Source organism: Homo sapiens, chromosome 12, assembly GCF_000001405.40.
Source record: "Homo sapiens chromosome 12, GRCh38.p14 Primary Assembly".
Taxonomy (NCBI): Eukaryota; Metazoa; Chordata; class Mammalia; order Primates; family Hominidae; genus Homo; species Homo sapiens.
Window position 1 is genome coordinate 95996374 of NC_000012.12, and position 27266 is coordinate 96023639.

At 38.8% G+C, this 27266-nt stretch overlaps 1 protein-coding gene and 1 long non-coding RNA gene across 17 annotated transcripts in view, besides 6 other annotated features; one reads left to right on the forward strand and one right to left on the reverse strand.

Annotated features, from left to right (window-relative positions):
* On the forward strand, positions 109–15331 carry LOC102723340 (uncharacterized). Of its 5 annotated transcripts, none has more exons than XR_945236.4 (4): positions 109–257; positions 1634–2054; positions 3718–3887; positions 13588–15331. It is a non-coding gene; the product is annotated as an uncharacterized LOC102723340 (long non-coding RNA). The 5 variants fall into 5 exon arrangements; XR_945237.4 differs by having other exon boundaries at positions 1958–2054; XR_001749275.3 differs by lacking the exon at positions 1634–2054.
* Positions 184–353: an enhancer, noted in NCBI's record as "experimental_31163 CRE fragment used in MPRA reporter constructs". NCBI's record gives its function as "activates a minimal promoter by MPRAs in K562 erythroleukemia cells, with activity observed for the introgressed 12:96390420 variant allele {active_cell/tissue: K562}" and the evidence as "EXISTENCE:reporter gene assay evidence [ECO:0000049][PMID:34662402]".
* Positions 1578–1872: an enhancer, noted in NCBI's record as "tiled region #10760; HepG2 Activating DNase matched - State 7:EnhWF". NCBI's record gives its function as "activates a minimal TATA promoter and a strong SV40 promoter by Sharpr-MPRA in HepG2 cells {active_cell/tissue: HepG2}" and the evidence as "EXISTENCE:reporter gene assay evidence [ECO:0000049][PMID:27701403]".
* Positions 2319–2378: an enhancer, noted in NCBI's record as "active region_6820". NCBI's record gives its function as "activates an Ori minimal core promoter by ATAC-STARR-seq in GM12878 lymphoblastoid cells {active_cell/tissue: GM12878}" and the evidence as "EXISTENCE:reporter gene assay evidence [ECO:0000049][PMID:35858748]".
* LTA4H (leukotriene A4 hydrolase) overlaps positions 4380–27266 on the reverse strand; it is a 42768-nt gene continuing 19881 nt past the window's right edge. For 2 of the 12 annotated variants that reach the window (NM_001256643.1, NM_000895.3), the window contains exons 5-19: positions 25774–25878; positions 24712–24764; positions 22795–22867; positions 22390–22530; positions 21184–21207; positions 20671–20741; positions 19210–19321; positions 18482–18626; positions 17377–17480; positions 16815–16885; positions 12721–12775; positions 9941–10036; positions 7465–7547; positions 6587–6691; positions 4380–4733 (exon numbers count right to left, since the gene is read on the reverse strand). In NM_001256643.1, coding sequence (NP_001243572.1) covers positions 4616–4733; positions 6587–6691; positions 7465–7547; positions 9941–10036; positions 12721–12775; positions 16815–16885; positions 17377–17480; positions 18482–18626; positions 19210–19321; positions 20671–20741; positions 21184–21207; positions 22390–22530; positions 22795–22867; positions 24712–24764; positions 25774–25878 — 1356 coding nt within the window. In that variant the 3' untranslated portion in view covers positions 4380–4615. Of the gene's footprint in view, positions 4734–6586; positions 6692–7233; positions 7609–9940; positions 10037–12720; positions 12776–15312; positions 15493–16814; positions 16886–17376; positions 17481–18481; positions 18627–19209; positions 19322–20670; positions 20742–21183; positions 21208–22389; positions 22531–22794; positions 22868–24316; positions 24386–24711; positions 24765–25773; positions 25879–27266 lie in introns of those variants that run through there. The other 10 variants (NM_001256644.1, NM_001414265.1, NR_182266.1 and 7 more) reach the window with 9 other exon arrangements.
* Positions 14039–14208: an enhancer, noted in NCBI's record as "experimental_31173 CRE fragment used in MPRA reporter constructs". NCBI's record gives its function as "activates a minimal promoter by MPRAs in K562 erythroleukemia cells, with activity observed for both the introgressed and non-introgressed 12:96404275 variant alleles {active_cell/tissue: K562}" and the evidence as "EXISTENCE:reporter gene assay evidence [ECO:0000049][PMID:34662402]".
* Positions 14841–15010: an enhancer, noted in NCBI's record as "experimental_31174 CRE fragment used in MPRA reporter constructs". NCBI's record gives its function as "activates a minimal promoter by MPRAs in K562 erythroleukemia cells, with activity observed for both the introgressed and non-introgressed 12:96405077 variant alleles {active_cell/tissue: K562}" and the evidence as "EXISTENCE:reporter gene assay evidence [ECO:0000049][PMID:34662402]".
* Positions 26147–26316: an enhancer, noted in NCBI's record as "experimental_31179 CRE fragment used in MPRA reporter constructs". NCBI's record gives its function as "activates a minimal promoter by MPRAs in K562 erythroleukemia cells, with activity observed for both the introgressed and non-introgressed 12:96416383 variant alleles {active_cell/tissue: K562}" and the evidence as "EXISTENCE:reporter gene assay evidence [ECO:0000049][PMID:34662402]".

The following is a 27266-nucleotide window of genomic DNA, read 5'->3' on the forward strand; positions in this document are numbered from 1 at the left end:
TGGGCCAACTGTGACACTGGGAGTGTGGCAATCGTCACTCATTTGTTTATTCCACAAACATGTATTGAGCAACTACTTCCTGTCACCAGTAAGGTTTTCTGAAGCTTTCTTTCCACCAGGGAAGACTGCAAAGGCCAGAGATCATTTTCACAACTAAAGGTCGTCATCTGGGCAAATGAACCACTCTGACTTGGAGATTAGGGGCTCAGACAGCCGTGGATGAGAGTCCAGCTCTACTACTTATTAGCCTTGATTAGGTGAGTATTACCCTGTATTTCCTTATCAGAAGGCCTAGGGGCTAACTGCCTCCTTCCAGTATGTGCAGGATTTACCTGTGATCAAATCCTGGCTCTGCCATTTGCTAAGTGTATGACTTGTGGGCAAGTGATTTGACTTCTCTGGGCCTCAGTTGCCTCATCTGTAAAATGAAGATAATGGTAATGATGATAGTATATATGTCAAAGGGCTATTGGGAGGATGAAGTCAGTTCATATATGTAAAGCCCTCAACACAACACCTGGCATAGTGGAAATATTATAGAAGTGTCTGTGATTACTAGTATCTGGACACCAATACTCCATGTAACTATAATGCTTTATAAATGTTCTGTATGAATCATAAAGCTATAAAGTTCCATAAATGCTCTTTCATCTTGGCACATGGATATCCCTCACCCAATTAAGCTTCTTCACCACAGATAACTGCTCCCTGCACCCGCCTTATTACCATTGGTATTAAGGAACTCTGGATAGCATGATTACGGCATCAAAGATATGCAGATGCTATTTTGACTAAGCAGCACTTTCATCGTAAGCCAATTTTTAGAGATTTGATTATTGCACTAGAAAAATCCTGAAAAGTCTGTTTCCACTAAATCAGACTTCTGTTGGGAAGAGAGACATGGTTGCTCAAGAAAAACACCTATACTCATACCCAGAGTCCCTCTCATCTGCTGACAGCTTCCCAGGAAGCGTACAAATAGCTACCCTTCCTTGAGCCTTATTGAAACTTGCTCTTCAGATACCCACACCATGACTGCACCCTGGAATTTGTCATGACCTGAATTTGACACACTTAAGAAATCACCCTGGAATCTGTCACGACCTGAATTTGACACACTTAAGAAATCTGAAATTCCAATATTCCACCTTCTGACCACAACCTTCCAGCTGCCCTTTTACTCTAGTCACTGCCAGCCTTGGACCTGACCTCCAGTCAGTCTCTTCATCCCTCCACTTCCCACCAGCATCCTCACTTACTATCCTAGGAAGCTGGTCCCTAGTCGCTCACTGGACCACTCTTTCTTAAGCACTCTGAGATTCCTTTGCATCCCTAAACTTATGTCTACACTTGGAATAACACCCATCCCCTTAGTCATCACAAAAAACAGCCATCTCTTGGAAGGATTGCTTAAGCCTAGGCAGTCAATGCTGCAATGAGTTATGATTATACCACTGTACTCCAGCCTGGGTGAGAGCAAGACCCTGTTTAAAATTAAAAGAAACTGTCATATCTGTTCACCCAGGCAGAAGACACTGATAGAGAAAGTCCTGTGATCACATAGTTTGATGGTATTGCCCTTTTATTCCATCCAGCCCACAGTGACTTTCCAAAACTTTGACCCCTCTGCCAGGACCTTCTCGACATCCACCTCTAATTCTCAGAAGGAGACCTTACTTCCTACATCTGTGAGAAAACTGAGGACTGCACATGTGAACCACCTTAACCTTCTGCCCCACCCCCCCCCATTCATTCCTTGACTCATTTAACAAATATTTTTTCAACACCTGTTATGTAACAAGCTCTATGCGAGGTGCTGGGGATGAAATAAATAACAAACACGCTCTACATTCATGAGGCTTACTGTCTGGTGATGGATAAAGCTGTATAAAGATGACTAATAAGAGGTCTAACTATCTTCATGCTGCAAAACAACCCAAACTACTGCATGCTCCAGTTGACTGTCACTGCCGAGACCAGCTTCTGAGTAATTTCAGCCCAGGCATCAGACTAGTGAGGGAAGGAGCTTCCAGGTGATACCACCTCCCAGCCATGTAAGTCACCCCCAGCAGTTTGAGGATTCTAAACTCAGGCCCTACGCATTGTGGAGCAGAGTCTTCCTTGTTATTCTTTCTCCAGAAACGCACTTTCCAACTTCCTTTGCCTGTCTAGATCTTTCTTACTCCTTAAGCCTGTTTAGGCCTTTTCTTCTCCAGGAAGCATTCCCTAAATTCTTCAGTTGGGTTAAGTGGCCCTTCTCTGGGATGCCTTAGCATAGCTCTTCTTTAGTATTATCTAGGAAATTACTTGTCTGTGTTCATCCATAATTATGTATATATCCGATCTGGCACAAAGACATTTAGCATATGCTTACTAGCTGAACTGAAGAAATGTGAACTGCACCGAGCTGGCCCCTAGGTAAACCAGCAAGCAGGATTAAGTTTGTCTTTAGCGCCCTCTACCTTCTTCACAGCACCCTTCCATGCCACCCTTCAAGCATCCCTTGTCACAATTCACTTTCAGTATCACTAAGTGATAACTAAAAACGACATTAACTTACAGCTTGTCTTGTAAGCTCATAGGGCAGAAGCCTTAAAGAGCAGTATTTGGGTAAATGGATTTGCTAAAGTCTAATCTTAGAACATGATCTTATGCCAGTGATTTGAGCTGAACTCCCTTCTCTGTATTCTTGGCAAGGAAGGCAAGGGAGAGCAGAGCCTGGAGAAAGAATCACACTGCAGCATAGATAAGTGACCAAGAGGACAGAACGAGGCGGGTGGATTGCTTGAGCCCAGGAGTTCGAGACCAGCCTGGGCAACATGGCCAAACTCTTTCTCTACAAAACAAAAATTAGCCAGACATGGTGGTGCATGCCTGTAGTCTCAGCTACTCCAGAGGCTGAGGTGGGAGGATGGCTTGAACCCAGAGGCTGATGCTGCAGTGAGCTATGGTCATGCCACTGCACTCCAGCCTGGGCGACAGAGTGAGACCCTGTCTCAAAACAAAACAAAACAAAAACTGCTAGGGAGAGTGAGAGCCAGGGAAAAGTCAGGATTCCGGGAATAGGCAGGAATATGTCTCTTCCATACCTGTCCCACCTTGGGTGTTCACTCCTATTGTAACTTTAGTCACTGCATTAGCACTTTGAGGGGTTATTTGGTCAGGACACCGCTCCCCACCCCCACCCCATGCCAACAATTATACTCTAAGACACCATTCCTCTTACACAATTTATTTGACCAGAGGTGGACCCAACCTGGGTTAGAGTCTCACCTCTGGGAATTTGGAATTGTGATAGCCTCCCCATGTGGTCAGAGCTATTTGTAACAGTAAAGCTGGAGAGTGGCCGGCCTGTACAACGTGGACTAGAGAGGCAGAGGTGAGGGACAGGAGCACTGACGGTGCTGCAGTCCTGGGCATCAGACCCCTTCTGTCCGTCCCAGGTTCTGATAATCTCCCCATACCTAGCATCCTTAAAATAATCTTCCTTTTCCCTTTTTGACTTCTGGTCACTTGGATTGCTGTTACTTGCAATCAAAGAATTCTAACACAGCTATGGTTCTAATTAATTCTAACTAATAGAGCTAATACACTAATAATTCTACCTAGTACAGCTATGTGTGCTGAGATGCCCTGGGGCACTACGTTGCATTGGCAGGGGTGCTTTGTTATGTTTGTCTTTTATTTGGTTCAAGTTATTTTGTTGTCTTTGAACAGACTGTGAGAGGGATGGGAAAGACTGGTGCTTGGGGTGGCCATCTGACCCCTGATGGACAGGAGACCAGGACAAGCCCACTGGATGAGCCGGAGGGGTCCAGGAGGAGGGAGTTGAGAGCTCCTGCTAGGGTTGACACATTCTGGTAAGGAGTTCATCTGCTGTCCACCAGGTAGGTGGTGTGCAAATACAACTAAGCATTCATGTTTAAGGTTTTTTTTTAATTTTTTATTTTTCGAGGCAGAGTCTCCATTGCCCAGGCTGGAGTGCAATGGCGCCATCTCGGCTCACTACAACCCCTGCCTCCCAGATTAAAGTGCTTATCCTCCCTCAGCCTCCTGAGTAGCTGGAATTACAGTCGTGCCTCCACGCCCAGCTAATTTTTGTATTTTTAGTAGAGACGGGGTTTCACCATGTTGGCCAGGCTGGTCTCAAACTCCTGACCTCAGGTGATTCACCCGCCTTGGCCTCCCAAAGTGCTGGGATTACAGGCATGAACCACTGCGCCCGGACTTATGTTTAAGGTTATTTAAAAAGCAAAGCAAAATCCTAACCATGTTGAATTTTTGAATCTGCAGCAGATTCAAATTAATGAATTTAAATCATATATCAGGTAAAATACTACCTTGACATATTTTGTGATCATACTGAGAGAAAATTAATATAAAGCTAATTCAAAATTTTTTAATTTGTAAATCAAAAGATTAAACCTTGTTAAAATTTACAAAGAATATGCCACTATAAGAAGAAGTAGCTCAACTTTATTTCAGTAAAATCACCAACAAAACAATAAAAAGCCAAAACTAAAAAGACAGTTTTAATTGTGAGCTGAAGTTTTATATTTCTTTACGAATTCCATTTAAAAAAGAGAAATCTCTAAAATCATCAATACGCAGGTCTTTAATCCACTTTTAAGTCTTTCCCCACCAGCATTGCAGTCACGGGATGCATGCTTGCTTTGTGCTCTTGGTAGGTTCGGACAGCTTGATCATGGGATTTGTCAAAGGCAGCAAGATCCCTGCCAAAAAAGAAAAAATTGAAAAGAAAGAAAGGCGAGAAGGAGACAGAGGAGGAGAAAGGGAGGGAGAGAAGAAAGAAAGGAGGGAAGGGGTTCAGAGGAAAGGAAAAAGGAAGGAGAAAGAGAATAAGAACACAAGTCAATACCCAAGATTAAATTAAAGGATGTCAGCAGGGGTGACAGCCAGCATCACCCAAATAAGGCACCAGTCCCAGCCAATCAGATGGGTATGGTCCTGCCACAGGGTCCCAGAGACCTCCTTCTGTACCAGAGACTGGCCTTTATACTGGCAGATCAGACATTTTGCAGCAAGTTACAGGGAAGGGCTAGAGTGGCTGGGACCCGTGGCTATTTACCAAGCAGCATGGAAGGATTTTATTATTTGAACAGAGTCCTCTCATCTCCTGGCTAAATATCAGCCCTGTATGTGAGAGTGAGCCTCAAAGCCTTTCTTTTTAAAAACTGCTTTTAAAAAAAATTTTTTAATCAAGATTTTAAGAGTATGAAAACACTAAAATTTATATAGAATTTCTGAAAACTTCAAATAATTGAGAATAAAAGTCCTGACCACAGTGAAATAATAAATACATAATAAATAATACACGAAATAAATAATAAATACACTAAATAAAAAGGACCTACCATACAAAAGGTAGGATTAGTCATTTTTAATGTAACTACTATAAACATCATAAAACAGAAATACTTATTTTTCCCACAAAAGGTATACTCTTATTTATTTTATTCATTTTTTTTTTTTGAGACAGAGTCTCGCACTGTCACCCGGGCTGGAGGAGCTGGAGAGCAATGGCGCAATCTCAGCTCACTGCAACCTCTGCCTCCCGGGTTCAAGCGATTCTCCTGCCTCAGCCTCCCAAGTAGCTAGGATTACAGGTGCCTACCACCACACCTGGCTAATTTTTTGTATTTTTAGTACAGACAGGGTTTCACTATGTTAGCCAGGCTGGTCTCAAACTCCTGACCTCGTGATCTGCCTGCCTTGGCCTCCCAAAGTGCTGGGATTACAGGCGTGAGCCACCGCGCCCGGCCCAAGTATACTCTTATTTAAAAACCTATTTAAAGTATACTTTACTCAATTCAAAGCTAGATGGGTTTTAATTAGGGAAAGCATATAAAATATACTTAAAACTTAATTTTGTGGTCACATCAAAAAAGAGATAATGACTTATTTTGCCAAGTTTTATGATATTATATGGCCATCACTTTTGATGGCCAAAACTGCAATTACTTTTGCACCCACCTAAATACTTGTGAAGTAAATGAAAAGCAAACAAAAGTAATCATGGATATTTATGGCATGATTTTTTTTTCCAGAATTTGGACAAAATTCATAAAGACCTTGACTGAGATATTCTTGTATCTTGCTGTCAAGATACAACTTATCCCCCTCTCACTAAGCATTCCTTTATTATGTCAAGCAACCTACCCTTGACCTCTATGCAACATTTGAACACAAAAGAGTTAGCTTTATCTGCTTATTTCTCCTTACATTTAACTTCAGACTCTCTTTCTTGTCTATACCTACCCACCAATTATCTTCTAGTTACCTTTAAAAATCTTTGTGTATATAAGGCTATCTTTGATTTATTTCTATTTTATCAGTATCTAACTCTATTTGATCCAAAATAGTAATCCATATATAATGCTTCTAAAAAGAGGAATGAAATTATTTCACATTTTAAATATTTATAAGTGTGAATCCCTATTCCAAAATTATACTGATAAACTTTAACAAATTAAAAAATATTGTCATATAGATTACGTTTAAATATTTGACAGTTTTCTTCCTGTTTCTTAGATGAATTCAAAGTACGGTCTGAGTGGGTTCTTACTTGAATAAGGGCCGGGTAAACTTCATTCTTCCTTGTTCAGTTGCCATCTTTAGCGCCAAAGGAATTGCGTCCTCCCACTTGGATTGAATGCAGAGCCGCAGCCATCTAAAAGGAGGATTTGGGGGGAGCATGGAGTAGAAAATGAGGAAGGGGCAGGATATGACAGGTATATCTTAATATTACTTCTGTAGTGATATGAATAACCCCACTATAGTTATACTGTACACCACTTTATGGTATGTCTTGATTCTGAGACTCTCAAATCCTTATATATACAATTTAATAATTGGTGAAGAGAAAGAAGAGGAGCTGGTTCTTGAAAAAGATCATATATTTTTAAAGGTCTGGATCAGGTAGGTGCTCACATACCTTATAAATCCAATTTCTGAAGGAATTAAACTTTGGTTTAAGCCTCACATTACAAATTTGAATTAAGAAAGATCAGGTAGGTGCTCACATACCTTATACATGCAATTTCTGAAGGAATTAAACTTTGGTTTAAGCCTCACATTACAAATTTGAATTAAGAAAGATTAACATATAATAGAATAAAATATTTCTAACTATTCCCATTTCAAAGTAGATTTAGTTGGTTGTGGAGAAAGCCTATTTACCACGGAATCCTTCATTCTAATTTTTTTTTTTTCTTTTAAGGCAAGAGAGGTTTAGAGCAAAGTCTAACAAAAAGATTAATACTACCAGATTACATATTGCAACTATTCCTTAAATACCACTATAAGTATTTATATAGAAGCAGTCAGTTTGACAAGGAATTCTCAAGACTCAAGTATGTCTCATACTCTGCATTCCCTTTCTCCATCTTTCAAAGGAGTTTAGTTTTCTGCTTTCTTCCACAGAGACAAGTTAAAATGATGTACCTGAATCGTATTTCAGAATTGTTAATGGCATTGAAGTTGTACACCTCTTGCATTCGCTTTATGTGCCCCAATGGAAGAGGTGCCTAAGAGCAAAATAAAGAAGTATACCGTATCATTTCAACAGGATTCCTTGGAAGAAAGGAGCTGGAGAGAAATGCATAGCCAGATTAAAATCCTAAATATTTTATAATATAGAAATAAGTCAGATAAAAATAAAAGAAACAAATTGCACACTAAGTAAATTCTGTGCAAACTTATTCCAGATGAGGATATTCTACTGGGAGCACAGGGATAATTTACTTTGTGAAGTATTCAGCATTAAATGAGAATTGCTCTTCTTAGACTTTTTAGCATGTATAAATATTATCTTTCAGACTTTTCCTAGAGTTTTTCTAGTTATTCTCTATAACTTATATATCTTAAATGCAATTCCATTCTCCAGATGAAATCATAGTTCCTTAATTTTTGCCTGATTCCCCCTAGCTTTATCTTTGTATATTTCCTCTGAAATCCCTGTTAAATTATCTGCATACCTACATAATAGCAGTTCTTAAATGTTTGTATTATAGATCTCTTTGGGAATCTGATGAATAATGTGGACTCTTTCCCTAGGGGGAAAATACACTTACTACATGAATACAAACTTCTGTATACAATTTCAGGGGGTTTATAAGCATCCTATCCCTACCTTAACTCACCCTAAAAGGGAGGACAAGTTTGGGTGAAGGAAAGAAAAAAGATGAGTTCAGTTTGGACAAGCAGAGAGTTTGTAGTGCCTGTGAGAGGCAGAGGTGCCTCTAGGTAGATGATAACTCTCCCCTCCAACCACGACCTCCTTACCTTACAGGACTCCACACTCACTAACCAATCTCTGCTTTCATGAACTACTAATCCTGTCGCTAATAATTTAGTCCATTAGCCCCTTATGGACACATGCAACTCCAAGTCTACCCTGGTAGACCAACTGGTTAAGGTCATCTCCAAGGCTCCCTGACTTGCCCTAAGTTTTGCTATACCCATTCCAGAATCACCCTACCATGTTCTCTCTCTCTGTGGCCCTAGACCACCCACCAGTGGTAGAGCAATTTATGAAACCATGATGACCCGATGCACTAAAAATAGATTCTCTCTTTGATGGGTCCTTTGTTGCGTCAAAATCCTATTCCTAATTTTTGCATCAATTCCACAGAAAATTCCGCTCCAAATCTTCTTTCTTCTCAAGGTCCTTAGACTGAAGACTTCCCTTTCATGGAAGTCTTTAAAATCCAGTCATTGGTTTATCTCAAAATGCAGCAACTCCTTTCGGTTTCATCTATTCTTTCAATTGCCTAGATTCGAAACCTTAAAATCTGCTTGGATTCTTTACTGTCAACCCCTATAGCCAGTCAGTCACAGAGCTCTGTGCTTTCACCCTGTGTAAACTCTTTCTCACGTCCTGTTCTCTCCTCTCCCCGCAACTTACTCCCTCAAGTCCGGTACTCCTGCCAGTCTCCCAACTAGTAACTTCACCACCATGCAACCTTCATGGCCCCAGATTAGTTTTCTACAACCCAGCATTTCATCCCGACTCTTCTGCTGGATTTTTAAAATCTTTTCCTACTGATCAGTGTAAGATCTAAAATTTCTTAGCTTAGCATTGAGAGTCATCACATCTGGTCCTACCAGCTTTTCTAGTGTTACCTTCACTGACTTCCTTACCCAGTGCTACTGTTTACTCCAGCAATGCTGCAGACGAATTCCAGCCCTTGCTGCTCCCTCCACCTTCAATTTCTACCTCCCTGCTAGCCCTGGGGGTGCAAAGCAAGTCTCCTCCAAAATTCCCTCTCTGATGCCCCCAGTTGGAAGAGTCTTTCACTAATTAAGTTTTTCCAAATGATACCTAAAGTATGCCTCCTTTTATTGCTAATGTTTTTAAAAAAATTTTTTTATGAGATGGAGTTTCACTCTGTTGCTCAGGCTGGAGTACAGGGGTGTGATCTCGGCTCACTGCAACCTCCGCCTCCCAGTCCAAGTGATTCTCCTGCCTCAGCCTCCTGAGTAGCTGGGATTACAGGCACCTGCCACCATGCCCGGCTAATTTTTATATTTTTAGTAGAGACGAGATTTCATCATGTTGGCCAGGCTGGTCTCGAACTCCTGACTTCAAGTGATCTGCTTGCCTCGGCCTCCCAAAGTGCTGGGATTACAGATGTGAGCCACCGTGCCTGGCTTATTGCTAAATTTTGCATGTGTTCCCCTTCCTACTAGATTATACGCTATTTGAAGATAAGGTATATCCTTTCTTACATATTTTCATATTTAGCACAATATAAAACACAGTAAGCATTCAATGCTTTTTTAAAGAAATGAATAAATTTTATAAATGATTTTTTCCCCATTAGTTTCCACATTAATAATCTTTTGCCAAGTTGGGTAGAACATAAATGCTGTGCCTTTCTGTCCATTTTAATTTCTAAGATTTTGAGCTAGTACTTACCCTCTGGAGCGTCTGTGCTAAAAACTCATTCAATTGATGAGAAGAGAGATCCTTCAGGTCTGTGGCATTGAATGAATTTAAATCATCTTCTTTGGCCTGAAATAAATGTTACCTAGTTATTTTTGTTCAAGTACAATTTAATAATACTTATTGGTTTATCTGACATAAAAGTAAAAATTGAGAAAAAGAACCATATGAATGAACAAGATTATTCAAAATAAATTTAAGCCTGAGTTACTTAAATAATCCTGAGATTGAGTTACTGTAATTTAAATAGCTGATATGACTCCTAGAATCTATATTACTTAAGAAAAAGTAGATTATGGGTAGGAAGAGTGGAAGAAACTGTTGACATTCATTGTACCATTCGAGGTATAGAAATTTCCAAAGCAAAGAAACATTTCAAAATGTATGCATGTCAACTAATCTATAGACCAATTCAAAAAGGTAAAGAATGAAATCGTATATTTTTAAATATTACATTAATAAATTGGTAAGGCCATAAACTAATGTTTTCCTCCATCCCCACATATTCTGTTTTCCCCACTTAATCTTAGAAACCATCTAAGAAAAATAAAAATGAGTCTGCACTTTTCAAATTTGGATTTACTCTCAAAAATCTTTGAGAAGATGATTAAGCAATATTAAATAAAGCTTATAAAAATAAGGATTTTTAAATCTTTTAGAACTACTTTTATAATCTTTTAAACTAGGGCTTTTGTTACTTTAAAAGAAATATATGCAAATACTAAAAAATCAAATAGGACAGAAGGAAAAATTCTTTTGGATCTGCTCCCTGTCTCCAAGTACTACTCCTCAGTAACTAATATTAGTAGTTTCTGTATATCCTTCCACTAAATTTAATGCATAGGTATATACCCTTTTAAATAAATATTTTGCATCTTCCCCCTCTTCAGAACTCTCTTTAATAGCAATACTTCTTTTCCCTTTACAACTTATCCTTAATATGAGAACTTACAGCTCCAGCTCATTTTCTGTGCAAAAACCTGCAAATCTAAACTATATATTAATTAAGGATATATTTATGTGGTAAAAACATAAAAAGCAAGAGAATGATAAACCAAAATTCAGGACAATGGTAACCTGGATGGGTCAGCAAGGAGGGTGGAGAGGGGCATAAGATGGGGAGGGATGCTACAGAGGTACCGCTAAGATTTTACTTCTTATGCTAGTGGTGGGTCACACAATTGTTTTATACACCATATGAATATGTTATAAATATTCTTTTGCATTTATTTACTATTTAAGACAAATCATTGAGAAATAAAATACATAAGGAAAAGAGTGCATTAGTGAATACAGTGTCCTGAATCTGTTCCTAACAATGCCTGTTTCTACTAATATTGAAGAGTTGATCATTATCCACCTTAACTGCTGGGCCCAAAGGAATATTTGAGCAGAAATTAGTAGCAGTTTTAACTAGCACCAAATAAGCTGGAATACATTTTTCAAACTAAAACAGAGAATTTTAATACACTCACACTGTTAAAAAATCCTGTTTCCCATAGAAATCTCTTATACTTTTCTTCATGACAAGTTTGTCAACTACACAAAACAGGTTTTAAAAGGCAATAGCTGAACTGATTGCACAGCTGGAGGCCATTATCCTAAGTGAATTAACACAGGAACAGAAAACCAAATACAGCATGTTCTCACAAGTGAGAGCTAAACGACTGTATATTCATGGACATAAAAGTGGCAACAATAGATACTGGGCACTACTAGGAGTGGGGCAAGGGTTGAAAAACTACTGGGTACTGTGCTCAGTACCTGGGTGATGGGATCAATCATACCCCAAACCTTAGCATCACACAATATGCACGTGTAACAAACCTGCACATGTGTCCCCTGAACTTAAAAGTTGAAATTACGTAAAAAAATGATAAATCTGTTGCAAATTAATAGGAATAAAAGTATTCCTAAATCTTCTGTTATTTTTCATTAAAGAATTATCAAGGGCTCATCCTTACTTTGGCTTCAGTAAAGGGTTCTATTTTAGTACATATATGAAGAAGCTCCTCTTTAAGAAGCTTCATAGAAAGTGAACAAAGAGCAAAAGTGCTTCGATTCTTTGCACCACTAATAGTCAGCAGCTGGTCACCCAAGATCATTTTAGATTTACCTGGTATGTGAAATTGCCATATTGGAAGCAGTATCTTATAAATGATTTAAAAGGAAAAGAAGAAAGGTAAGATGCAAATATTTTTGCATACTTTTTTTTTTTAAGAGTTAAGAAGCAAGAAAAATCAGGATTAATGCCTTCAACATCAATTTTTCCCCCCATAAAACTTAATTTTCTAGGCTGGGCACAGTGGCTCATGCCTGATGCCTGTAATTCCAGCACTTTGGGAGGCTAAGGTGGGAGGATCACTGGAGACCAGGAGTTTGAGACCAGCCTGTACAACACAGACCCTGTTTGTATAAAAAGTTTTAAATTAGCCAGGCATGGAGGCACATGCCTGTAGTCCCAGTTACTCGGGAGGCTGAGGTGGGACAACTGACTGAGCCCAGGAGGTTGAGGCTGCAATGAGCCATGATCACGCCACTGTAGTCCAGCCTGGGCAACAGAGCAAGACCCTGTCTCAAACCCTTAATTTTCTATATTGAGAGTAGATATAATATCACCTTAGATAAACCTGACTTTCAAATAGCCTTTCCAAATATAACTGTTTGTGATTTAAAGTACCCTCCCTGCTTCATGAGTAAAGACATATTTGCACAATTCAAAAAGGAATCAAAAATCACACATTATTACTTACAGTAATCCATCTTTGACTTAAGGCAATACAAGCATTTGTCAGAGTCATATCATAACTGCAAAGATAAAGATTACATTGTTTAAAAATGCACGTGCTTTTGCAGAAATGCAGTTTTAAAGCTACAGTACATACTTAAATTTCAAAGTCCCTTTTAAATAAGGAAAACAAACTCCAAAGTGAGGAAAATAGGAAATATTTTACCTAACTTACATACTACTGGCATCATCCAAGAACTCACAAACCCAAATGGATACCACATTAATGAAACACCCATCTATCTTTTAGAAAGAATGCCAAAGCACCTCAGCAAAAGACTGTCATGTGCTCGAGTAGTATATGCTAAAGTAGTTGGAATCAGTTGAGCATATTTAGTACATGGCAGGAACAGTTCTAGGCACTCAAGACAACAAGATGAACAACATCAAGTCCTTGCTGTCATGGATTTTACTTGGTTGTTCCAAACATCTAATCATCTAACAAACCTGCAAGCACCTGCTACATAATTGGCACCGTTCTAGATGCTAGACCCTTGAGAGAGCCCGATACCATTGCCTGATGATTTCATTCCTTTTTAGAAGAAAATGAAATTAACACATGGTAATTGTTAAGCAAATTATACCAATATTTGTGTGTTCTCAACTTAGAAATCATATTTTGCAACAATGGGAAAGAACATGTAGTGTGTGCAAAATTCTTGCAAAACATCCCTCTTTCTCCGTAAATCATGCTTGCTTGTACTGAAATGCTTGTATTAGGGAACAGAGAGGCACCTGCCCCTTAGAGCCTAAATGAAGTAAGTTTTGATTAGAAGTTACCACTGAATCTCCCTTAAAGAGAGTTGTGACTGGGACTCCGTTTGTTCCCTAGGGGAGACAATAAAAAGGTCAACACAGCTCCCACCTCGAAGCAGCTGCCAGTTTATTACATGAAGTGTCAGGCTGTGGACTGCAGGCATGCCATTTTGTCTTCAAGAACAGGTGGGATCAGAGGTCCTTGACTGATCAGAATACACTGCTTTCAACCAAAACATTATTAGCATTGATTTCTTAAAAAATAATAGCAAAGTAGAAAACCTTTAGCTGGTCTGTTTCTTCGTGTCCTGAAACTTCCTTATTAGTGTAATTAAAAGTACTAAGTTAAGAATTAGCCTGGGAAAGGACCCTACTTATGGCAAAGTCTTCAGAAAAGTAAAGAGCAAAACCAGATATGTGCCTTGTTCTCATGGTGCTGACAGTATAGCGAAGAGGAAATACTTTAATCATACGAATAAATAAATGTAAAGTTAGAACTGTGCAACTGCTACGAAGAGAGGATATAGCACTAAAAAGCCCTAGAATGGGAGATTTGACCTGGCCAGGGATGTCAAGAAATGCTTCCAAGAGGAAGTGGTTCTTGAGCTGAGATTGGAATTAACTGGGCAAAGGGCTCCGGGTAGAGAAAACAGCATGCTCAGGTACTATGTTGGAGGACATATGGGGAGTTCGAGAAACTCCAAAACTGCCAGTGTGACTGAAGCAAAGGGAGCTAGAGTGTTAGGAGCTTATAATCCCCACTAAAGGATTTTGTCTTAGCCCAAGAGCAAAGAGATACCAGTGGAGACTGCTAAGCAGGAGGACAACATGACACATTTGTGCTTTTAAAGGTTTACTCTAGCTTTAGTGTGGAGAGTGGCTGGGAGAAGTCAGAACAGATACAAGTGCACAGTTTGGGTGCCAGAACAGTCTTCCAGGATGTGAAGATGTGATACTGAACTTGGACAGTGGTAGTAGAAATGGAGAGATGTGGATAGACTCAGATATTTAAATACATATACAAATGATGAGAGCATTATAAAAAGAGGATCGTGGAAGCCAAGATTCTGTGCTGCAATGGATCAAAGTATTTTCTGTGGTTTGAGATTTTCTAAGATACTCTCTCTTTACAGAATTCCCGGGCACACGAATGATTCCAGGGTTCCTCCAGCACTTTGGTATTACTTGAAAGCAATCTTAAGGGATCTAGAATGAACCAACGCCCAAAAAGGATCCCTTAGCAGCGGTGATATCAAAGAAACACTTTTGAAGAACTAATTTTCCACCCAGATTTCCCCAATTTTAAAAGCAATGGGCAAAGCCTTCTCCACTCCTAAACTTCCTGGAACTGTCTTTTGGCTATATCAGGCCCCTGAAGTTAGAGTCTTTGAAAGACTCCAAACTCCAAATTCTATGCTTTTATTCTCAGGCTCCTCATAATTCTACAGCACACCAGACTGCTGACCACTCTCCGTACCACTTTTAAATTATTTCTTCCCACAGCTTTCTTAACAATGAACCTTTGAAATCTTTTTAGTTTTCCATTTATTTTGCTACCTTTCCTCTGTCCTAGCTCTAAAATGAAGATCCTCTAAGGTTCTACAGTTTACTTCTTGTATTCTCCTTTGTAAGTCATCTCCAAGACGATGTCCAAATCCATCACCATTAAAATTAATAGTTTCCTCACCCACAACACTTAATATTTTAAAAAAAATACTTTTCATTGTATTATAATTACTTGATACATACATATTTGCTCTGTGAGTTCCTTATTCATCATATTAGTGCCTGACAATAAATGTGTGCTGGATTGAGCTGAATCTTTATTACATCTCTGCTCAGTCATTTTTAATTTCTTCTTTTCTCACCACAGCCAATCAGTTGCCAATAGATTCTAGCCCCCAAACGTCTCTTCTCTCAGTTACTCCTTTCTTTTCCACTGCCTTTGTATGACTTCAGGTCCTCATAATCTCTAGCAAGGCTGTTGTAAAAATTAACGAGATAATGTATGGCACTTCTTAATGAAGTGCTAGGAAAAAAATCTAAAGTATTATTTTTGCTGATACCTTTTTTAGACGTTAAAAGGGTTTACTGATGATTTGTGCCACCTGTTTCCAACACAAAATTCGAAACATTCTATCGTAATCACCCCTCCCTACCTGAGCTCCTGTTTCCCACCACAGCCTATGATAACCAGGACTGCCCAGTTAGTGGGGCGCTCTGACCACATTTGTTCCATACTCAGAACTCCCAGTAACTTCTCAACCAAACACTTCTCGGCCTGGCTGTTTAAAGTGCTTTACAAACAAACATGACCAGGCCTCATCTTGTTTCTTAGCTTCTCTCCTGCTGCTCCCTGAACATCAATTAAACTGGCCTGTTTAGTGTAAGAGAAGCTGGTAGGCAATTTTGGTGATCCAAAAGAAAGGCAACAAGAGAACATGCCATGGAACATGCCATGGTCAGTGTCCTCACACAACTCGTGAAAGACCAGGGTTCAGGTCCGATTGAAGGAGGGGGTTCAGTATAAAAAGCAGTATATTGAGGCCGGGCACGGTGGCTCACGCCTGTAATCCCAACACTCTGGGAGACAAAGGCAGGTGGATTGTTTGAGCTCAGGAGTTCGAGACCAGCCTGGGCAATATGGTGAAACCCTGCCTCTAGCAAAAGTACAAAAACAGCCGGGTGTGGTAGTGCGCATCTGTGGTCCCAGCTACTTGTAAGGCTGAGGTAGGAGGATCACTTGAGCCTGGAAGGCAGAGGGTGCAGTGAGCTAAGATCACATCACTGCACGCCAGGCTGAGCCACAGAGTGAGACCCTGTTTCTAAAAAAAAAGAAGGAAGAAAGCAGTATATTGGAGGCAATAAGACTGCCAGGGTTTGAATCTCAACTTTTACTACTCACTAGCTGTGCAACCTAGGGCAAGACACTTTACCTAGCTAAACCTAACTTACCTCCTTGGGAAATGGGGATAATAACTTATAACAGTGTTGTAATTAACATAATACTTATAAAATATTTTTATTGCAGAAGTTTGAAGGAAGATACAATAGCTTATTGTCTAAATCCCTCACCATCCTTGTGCAGAAAGGAGGCACTCAATTACTTGAAGTGAAAAACCATATTTGTAAACTGCAGAAATTATTCTTTTGGCCTCAGGGTTAAGGCCAAAACACCTAAGAACTCTGCTTTCATCATTTACTAGTAACAGTTTCAGGAAGGCATACTATTCTTTCAGATATTTTGAGGCTCTCTAGGAGTTAGGAGAATGAGAAGGAAAGCATTAGCAGGCAAGTACTTACTTGGGCTTTATGGGAGGCAGTCCAGGAGAGTAGAGCCAGGCATTCCAATCAACTTGATTGAGAACATCAACCTATGAATAGTAAGAATTCACAGTTTACAATAGAATGCCCTTTCCTGTCAAAAAAAAATTTAAACTTGTAAGTCCTTAGATATATAATTTTGTCTAATCTGCTATATCAAGATAATTTCTAAATCTTTTTTAAAAATTAATATTTTAAATTGATAGATCATAATTGTGTATACTTATGTGACACAATGCGATGTTTTGATATATGTACTCAATGTGGACTAAGTCAAGCTAATATATCCATTACCTCATCTAACTCTATCTTCTAAAATTTATATTCATCACCATACTATTGATGACTTCTCTGAAATAGGAAAATTCTACAGGTAGTTCATGTGGTTAAGATCACATTTAAAATAGAAAAAATATGCAATGAGAGGTTGAGTCCTAAAGTTCTGAACCAATACTACTATTAGATAATACAAGTTAACCTAATCAGTCAATAAATAGAGATATATCGAGCATGAAAAATAGAAAAGGTTTTTAAATCCAACCTTATCTTTAAAATAGGAATACAGGAAATCCTTCCAGTCATCAGTAGTTATGCTCTTATAGGAAAACTTCTCAACATAAGCTTTTAAGAATCCTAGGAAAATCTCTAAGAGTAAAAAAGAAAAGAAATCAATTCATAGAAAGGTAATTATTTGACATTTTGTGTGCGTGTTTGGCATTGTACTATTAACCACAGAGAACAGAGAACATTCAGAGAATAGGGAAATCTACGAGGACTTTCAGAGTGAAAGAATGTTCAAAAAAGGAGGTGGGACTTAAGTTGGGCCTTGAAGAATATATGTAATTCAGTGGAAGGGAGAAGAGAAATTCTAATTATAGGTAAGGGGATAACACATGAAGACACAGAAAAGGAATGCATAACCCAAGTTCTAAAAGCAATAACCTTCACATGACTAGAAAGGAGAAAAATAAGACTGGACAGGCAGAATGGATCCAGGTGACAGACAGCCTTCCAAGTCAATCAACCAAGGAGAACACCTCAATGTCCATCAGTGGGGGATGGGTACATAACTCAGCATAGCTTTATCATGAACTAGTATGATGGCATTAAAAAGTATGAAACAGATTTATATGTACTGACACAGAAGGGTGTATGTGAAATATCGAGCAAAACAAAACACAAATGCAGAGCCAATATATAGCATGACCCATTTTTTGTAATTAAAATAATTACATGTATTTATTTGTCTGCTTGTTAATTTACACCTAGAAAATGATCTGGAGCCATTTACACCAAACTGCTAACAGTGGTTACCCCTGGGGAGTGGAAAGGGGTTGATGGACTCTCACTTGTTACTCTTATAAACTTCTGTACCATAGAAATGTTTTCAGGGAATACACACTATTATCCTAATTTCAAAAACTGATGAGATTTTTTAAAAAATGAAGCAGCATAATTTAAACCTTAGGGGTTATTAATGGTTTTAAGTTGAGAGGTAACTCAGAAAACAATACAGATTTCTTCAGCAGCTACATCCAGAATGAATTGGAAGTATTAAATGGAACAAAACAATAGTTTACAATTCTTCCTAATTCTCACATTACCCTCAAAAAGAAAAAAAAAATCATAAAATACCAACTACTTACCTGGTCCTCCAAGCAGTTGTTCAAGGTAAAAAAGTAAAGCAAAGCCCTTCTCATAGGGAACTGAAGAATAAGCTACATCAGGGTCTATATCTGTCAGATCAACCACAAGTTTGGTGAAAGGATGTGTCTCCCCAAATGTCTTTACCTGCAAGACATGAAATAACATGGAGAAACATATAGAAAGACTGCTATCACCACGCAAATAAGCTAATAAGGAGGTATTACTTCACTCAGTGGTGTAACTTTAGGGGAATCTAAAACTTGGAGACTGGAACACTAGGATATGTTGGCATAAACTTCTGGAAGTCTATTAATAGAATGCTTACTTAAGTAATATTCTCTGTTGTTTCTTGCTCAATAATACAGGCTTTATTCTTATAAAAAGACTAGAAAAATGATTTAATGCCTGGTCAGCAAATTTGGCTTTCAGGAGACAACACTTAAAAATGACATACCAAATAAGATGCAAACATAGTAAACAGCTATATTAATAGCAAAGACCCAGTGAGGTCCCACAGCTCCCTATTTAGACCAGGTCATCAAAACTACCTTACATAGAACAGTGAACAGTGTGGATCAACACAGTGTTATACCAGCATTGACTTCACTTTCCACACTTGTAAAAATGACTTTTTGGTTGCTACACAGTAAAGACGCTTTTATAAAAACTCAGTTTTTAACACCTATACAACTTTGGATGAAGGTTTTTAAAACTTTGACTCCTTTACCGAATTCTGTAGTTCTCCCCATCCTCCCAGAGCATTAAAATGTCTGAACTTTTCACCAAACAATCGTCCGCAAATGTGGCGTTCCAAGTACACAGTATGTCCCTCATTTAACCTGAAAAAAAAATATTTTAATAAAAACACGGACACAGCTGAGAAGAAAAGACATTTCAATCAAGATATTTTCTTTTTGGCTTTTCTACAGAGGAAAGCAGTTGTAAGGCATGACCACTACAGTCTAAGCCGACTCTGGCTCCCAGGCAGTCAATCCAGAGCAATGGGAAGCCCAGCCCAGCAGATGGCAGCAGGGAAAGTTAAGCCCTGCTTCTGCTCTTGCATGTCCCTATGTTAAAAGTGGGAGTATATCAGGAATTAAACTTAACACCTAGACTGAACCTAACACTCCTAACGCTGTAATAAGTGTTACAGAATTTTTAAGAACTATCCTTGTTGGCCGGGCATGGTGGCCCACGCCTGTAATCCTAGCACTTTGGGAGGCCGAGGCGGGAGAATTATCTGAGGTCAGGAGTTCAAGACCAGCCTGGCCAACATGGTGAAACCCCGTCTCTACTAAAAATACAAAAATGAGCTGAGCATGGTGGCGTGCACCTGTAGTCCCAGATACTCGGGAGGCTAAGGCACAAGAATTGCTTGAACTGAGAGGCAGAGAGATCACACTACTGCACACCAGCCTGGGCGACAGAGTGAGACTCCATCTCAAAAAAAAAAAAAAAAAAAAAATCCTTGTTGGCTGGGCGTGGCGGCTTATGCCTATAATCTCAGCACTTTGGGAGGCCGAGGTGGGCGGATCACTTGAGCTCAGGAGTTTGAGACCAGTCTGGGCGACATGGTGAAATCCCATCTCTATAAAAAATACAAAAATTAGCCAGGCATAGTGGCATGCGCCTTTAGTCTCAGCCACTTTGGAGGCTGAGGAGGGAGGATTGCAACCCTGGAGTTGCAGTTAGCAGAGATTGCACCACTGCACTACAGCCTGGGCCACAGAGTGAGACCTTGTCTCCAATTAAAAAAAAAAAATAGCTGGGCATGGTGGCTCACACCTGTAATCCTAGCACTTTGGGAGGCCAAGGTGGGTGGATTGCCTGAGCTCAGGAGTTCGAGACCAGCCTGGGCAACACGGTGAAACCCCATCTCTACTAAAATACAAAAAATTAGCTGGGCGTGGTGGCGCATGCCTGTAATCCCAGCTACTCGGGAGGCTGAGACAGAAGAATCACTTGAACCTGGGAGGCAGAGCTTGCAGTGAGCTAGATCGCACCACTGCACTCTAGCCTGAGTGACAGAGTGAGACTCCATGTCAAAAAAAAAAAAAATCCTTGCCTACCTAAGAGATGATAACAAAGAAAAACAAGAGATACACACAAAACAATTCAGAGTGGTAGGAGGCAGGGAAAAAAAAATCAGCAACATGAACCAATAAAGAAATAATAACAAAAATCTTACCAAAAGTGATCCCAAGTTTTGTTGGTCACTAGATTCCCTGTCCAGCTATGAGATATTTCATGTGCAATGACCTAAAGAAAACAGTGTGATTAATAGTAAGACTGATTATCTTAACCTAAAATAACCCATTCTACTGTAAACACTCCATGTTATTCAATTTTTAAAAAATATTAGCTGAGATATTCAGGGAGTTACTCAGTTCAGCAAAATCTTTAATTTAACCAAAGACATACACACACACACAAATATGGCATAAAGTAATTAGAAAACAAAAATTACTTAGAAAATATTAAATAGATATATCACTGCATTAAAAATATTTCATAAATATATGAAGAGATCAAACCATAAAATTTCCTTAAATCTATTACATCTAATTGTTAATAATGTGAGAAGAGTCCCCAAATTGTCCATTATAACCATATCTTTAACATAAAAATACAAGGGATATTTTAAAATCAGTTGACGTAATACTTCTTGAAGGTAAGGCCATAATGAAAAAGTTTAACTTACATTGGAGAGTGACTTGTCGCCTGCCTACAAAAAAAGAAAATTACCTTAGTATTTTAGTAATCGAATTACAGACTATCTAAAAGACTGCCTACCTAAATACTTAGCATACTGGCACTGGTGATCCACTGTATTTCTACTACAGCACTTCAAAGAAGGTAAAAGAGACCTTAATTGAAAAAACAAAAAAAATACAGAACTAAAAATTAGCATCATTCTTTCTTGCCCTAATTCTAGGGAATTTTTGCAATACAATGAAAGCCAGTCTATTTGTGTCTAACTTCCATGAAACATTTCTTCTACTTCCATTTTTATATCTGCTCTTATTTACCCATCACTTTCTTTCTCTCCTATTACCCAAAATATATTTAATAAAACTTTAGAGTGTCCTATGTGTCCTGTGCTGTATTTTATTTATTTTATTGCTAATCCATCACTCATTTTGGTTCTAAGAAGAATTTAAAGTAGCTCACAGGCATATTAAACATAGCAGCGTTCTATGGCCCTAATCCTTTCCTGTACATGGTGTACTGATTTTTTTTTTAATTGTACCTACACACCAAGTGTAATTGGTATAGTCTGATTGTCTGGATACATAATTTATCAATGAATTGTTGTTACACAGCACCCCCATGCCCAACTCCCCAAATACCGTGAACATAATATTCTCCTTCTCCAAATGGCCTGATTATTTTCCTTTCAAAAACAAGATGGAGGCCTGGTGGGGTGGTTCATGCCTGTAATCCCAGCACTTTGGGAGGCCAAGGCAGGTGGATCACGAGGTCAGAGGATCGAGACTACCCTGGCCAATATAGTGAAACCCCATCTCTACTAAAATTACAAAAATTAGCTGGGCATGGTGGTGTGCACCTATAGTCCCAGCTACTCAAGAGGCTGAGGCAGGAGAATCGCTTGAACCCGGGGGCAGAGGTTGCAGTGAGCTGAGATTGTGCCACTGCACTCCAACCTGGGCAACAGAGCAAGCCTGTGTCTCAAAAAACAACAAAAAAAAAATGAGATTGTGATAACCACAATAAACAATAAAATTAGAAACAAAGGTTACACGAACAAGAGAAAAGATTTTTATACATATATACATTATTAGGACTCTAAGGTTCTTTACATATATATACATATTATTAGGACTCCTAAGGTTCTTAAGTTTATTTTTGAAACGTCAATTTCAAATGAAGAAACATTTACACTTACCAGTAGAGTAGGAGTTACAAAAGTAAGGCAAGGATTCTCCATGCCACCATAAGGGAAGGATGGTGGCAGGACCAATAGGTCATACTGTCCCCATACATACGGTCCTCCCAGATCTTCTGCTATTTTAAGCATAGATTCAGTCTGAAAAATCAACATATATATGTCTGTATGCCTTAATTATCACCATTGTACATTTCTTAAAATTGTATATTGCTTTCTATGAAGGTTACAAGTTAATGATTTTTATGTTAAATGAAAATGATAAAAAGAATGTAGCAACTACACATCTACATAAAAGACAATCTGGTTCTTTCCCCGTATCACTTAAAACCATCACATTTCACACTCAAAATCTTCAATCTACTGTCTATCACAATGATTACAAAGGATAACTAAATGACCAACCTCAGAAAACTCATAAGCAGACTTTTCCACCTGCTCTTTCTCAGACCACACCAAAGTTCTTGGGCCAATTTGCCTGCAAGATTAAAAAGCTTAATAAAAAAGAAATTCATGGCAAATGATTCATCTGGTTCTAAAAAGTAGTTAATGTCTTGTAGACAAACCTTTACAGTGAGAGTGCATTTACCATGTGCCTATGGGAAAGGGATGAGGTTACATGGCGTGAGCTGCAAACCTGCTGTTGTATATGCAGCAATAGATATGCAGCTCTCTAAGGAGGTACAGGCTGGGCCAAAGGAAAAAAACCAAGACATAAGGTGTCCCCAATTAGTTTATTGCCTCTTGTAAGACCTCTTGAGGGTCTCATTTCATCCCTCAATTTCACAACTATAGAAACCCAGTCACAACTCATAAGAAACTATTTTTTTTTTTTTTTTTTTTTTTTGAGACGGAGTCTCGCTCTGTCACCCAGGCTGGAGTGCAGTGGCACGATCTTGGCTCACTGCAAGCTCCACCTCCCAGGTTCACACCATTCTCCTGCCTCAGCCTCCCTAGTAGCTGGGACTACAGGTGCCCGCCACCACGCCCAGCTAATTTTTTCTTTTTTTTGTATTTTTAGTAGAGACAGGGTTTCACTGTGTTAGCCAGGATGGTCTCAATTCCCTGACCTCATGATCCGCCTGCCTCGGCCACCCAAATTGCTGGGATTACAGGCGTGAGCCACCACGCCCAGCGTTTTTTTTTTTTTTTTTTTTAAATATACAGGGTCTCATTCTGTTGCCCAGGCTGAGTACAGAGGGGCCATCACAGCTCACTGCAGCCTCCACCTCCTGGGCTCAAGCAATACTCCCACCTCAGCCTTCTGAGTAGCTGGGACTACAGGCATACACTACCATGCCCGATTAATTTTTTATTTTTTTGTAGAGACATGATCTCACTTATGTTGCCCGGCCTGGTCTTGAACTCCTGGGCTCAAGCGATCCTCCCACTTTGGCCTCCCAAAGTGACGGGATTACAGGCATGAGCCACAGAGCCCAGCCTGTAAGACTATTCTAGAACAGGAATGGGTATAAACTTTGTCATGCACTTAAAGGTTGAATACTCTTATATAAGAAGAAACAAATAGAAAATGAAGGAAATCCTGTCAGATGCTATAACGTGGATAAACCTTAAGGGCATTATGACACCTTGAATGAAATAAGCCAGACACAAAGAGATAAAATCATACTGTATGATTCTACTTATGTGAGGTATCTAAAGTAATCAAATTCATAGGAACAGAAAATAGAATGGGTGTTACCAAGGACTGGGCGGTGGGGGAAAGAGGAGCTATTGTTTAATTGGTGCAGAGTTTCAGTTCTGCAAAATGAAAAATTTCTGAAGATCTGTTTCACAACAATGTGGATATACTTAACACTACTGAACCGCACACTTAAAAACAGTTAAGTGTGCTTAAAACTAAGAATGAACAAAAAATTAAGAAGGAAGGGCACTTTATTTGTAAAATATTGATAAAATATCTTACATTTCTGTAATATTTGTAGGCTTCCAAGTTCTTTAATATATTTTATCTCATTTGTTTCACATAACCACCCTATGAGGTAGAAAGTCAGACATTATAATTTCAAGGATAAGGAAACAGAGATTGAGAGTGACTTGTTCAAGCTTACATGAGAATCCAGATCTCTAAAGGTAAGAGCATGCTCATTTTACAATACTTGAAAAAATAAGGGGTAACTGGTCAAGATTTTTAAATGTAAAATTAATTTGTTGCCTACATTTTAGATTTGAATTTTTCTAGAGCTGTCAGCTTGATATCTTGAGAAATATGCAAATGATTGACCAATTAACCTTGAGAGAAGTTCAAGATGCCTAAGTTTTGATCTTTCCACAAACCTGAAAATTTTTCCAAAAGCTCACCTGCTTTCTAAAGCTCCAACAACTAAAGCAATCAGGTAGCAGGGTATTGGAACCTAAAGAGGGCAAACAAACGCACACCACGTGCTTGCATTAGTGTTCACAAATGTTACACAGTAAGACAATTCATATTTAAAAGTAAGTAAATTCCCTTTCAAATCTCCTAATATTAGTAGGGATAACTTTGCTTTTATACTTCTCAAATAGTTCTCATCTTTAACATATAGCTTAAAATTGTGATATAAAACATTGTTCAAAACATCTATTTGCCTTTTATTCTGCTAGGAACAAAAGCTTCTCACACATGAAAAACAAGATCACACATACTATTAAAAGGTGCATTTTGAGCATTTCTCAAAAAGTAACCTACAGGAAGCGCATTTCCCATATGTTTGCCTTTTTCCTCCTGACTTTTAAAAGGTTTTGGTTTTCTTTTTTTATTCCTTTATGTTTCAAAGCACTATTGGCATGTTGTAGAGGCACACAGAGTTACCCGGCAATAAGTAGATGCCAAAGTTATGGGAGCTTGGAACCACAGAAGCTGCAGTGGAAGTCAAATTATCCATTGTGAGGTCAATTAAGAAAACACACACACACACACACACACACACACACACACACTCACGCATGCATACACATTCTGTTCACTGAAGGTCAAAGATACATGTCTAATGACCAGGACTGTAACTGAGTGCTTTTTTGGTCTTGACTCCTCCATTTGTAAACACTCTCAACAGCCACTTGCCCACACTGTAGTACCAGGGCAGGTGAATGCGTAAGAACTCAAAAGAACAGGAAGCCAGCCCCTGAACTGGAGTGAGGGAAAATGAAAACAGGTATGCTCCCTATTCTGTCTCTACAGCAAACCCTCTCTTCAATACAACACTCTGTAAGTAGAACAAAACCCTTTAAAAGCACAAAAGAAAAAAAAATGAAGAAAACAAAAACCAAAAGCTGTTCTCAAAATTCTGAAATATTTCAAAAGTAATTTTGCCCTCTGGATGTGTACAAGCTAACTGTAGTTTACCGCCAATGAAAACAAAAATCTAGACCCTAGGATCTTACTTTTTGGATGAATTTGTATATTTTCCTGCTTGGGTCTTCTGGGTCAGGTGTTTCTCCATCACGAATAGCACTCATAAGTGCCACCAGTTCTTTAGGGACAGACACCTAATCAAGGAGAAAAATCATTTCTAGTCATAAATAAAAGCTTCTATGTGTCTTAAACCATATATGTAAAATAACCTTTTCTTCCCATTCTTGACTATCTAATAAACAGACTATGAACACAAAAAGTATATACATATACAAAAAGTATATATATACACACACATATATATGAACACAACGTGTATAGATGTGTATATATATGCACACATATATATGTGTATATATATAAAACACATATACAAAAAGTATATATATACACATATACATATCAGTTTTGTAAATAAAATTAGCAATATGGGAAACTGGCTTCTTTAAAAGTGAATGTGAAATTTCTATCCATTCACCCATGCACATTAAGAGCAGAGTTTTGGTAGAAACTGGATTAAAATCCCAGCTCTGCCACCTAATAACTAACTGCACAAACTTGGGCAAATAAATATAACCCCCGAGCCTCAGTTTCCCCATCAAGTAAGTGTAAAACTTCAAAGGCTTGCTGCAAGGAATAAATAATATAAGTGAAGAGCCCAGCACCATCCCTGGCAATGGCAGCCACCATCCCTGCTCCCGCTACACTCACAAAACAGATTCAAAAGGACGTTATATACTCACTGTAGGACAGAATGGTTTTGAACAATTTTGTTTTGAAAACACACACTTGGAGTTACAAATAGAGGAACATTTTAAAAGTAGTAACTGTGAAAAACTAAAATTTATTGCTAAAAACTGTCAAATAATTTTCTCTGGAAATCCATACGGAAAAGACCCTTATGCGGCAAACCATATAGTCATTTAACTGTGTATCCTAGCTCCATGATTCTGAAAGTTTGATTTCTGATGAATGCCAGAATAAAGGACTCCCCCAAGTATTAATGATCAAACAAGAATATATTCCAGTAGGGGCTAGACTTTCATGTTCTTCTTGCATGGCTCAGGACCCAAAGCTGTGACTGAGGCAGGCACAGAATTAGAAGTTCCTGAACCAGTGCTACAACAATTGTAGATTCTAAAGCACAAAACTATTCAGGAAATAATTCGGTTCAGCCACCTCCCTTCATTTAGGTGGTGATACGTTATATATATGTGCCAGCTGAGGTTGCGAGGTCATAAAACTTGTTCAAGTGTCACATCATTATTTATTTATTTTTTTAGAAATGGGGTCTCGCTATGTCGCCCAGGCTGGCCTTGAACTTCTGAGTTCAAGTGATCTTCCCACCTCAGCCTCCCAAGTAGTTGGGACTTCACGCAGTTATTAAGTGGTGGAGAAGAGCCAGAGCCCTGGGATTCTTTGCCTCCAAGTATAATATATCACTGCACTATCCTAGATGTAATTTGGTTGTGGGATGATTTGGGAAGCAAGAAGGCCCCATAAATATGGGTTGGTCCTCATT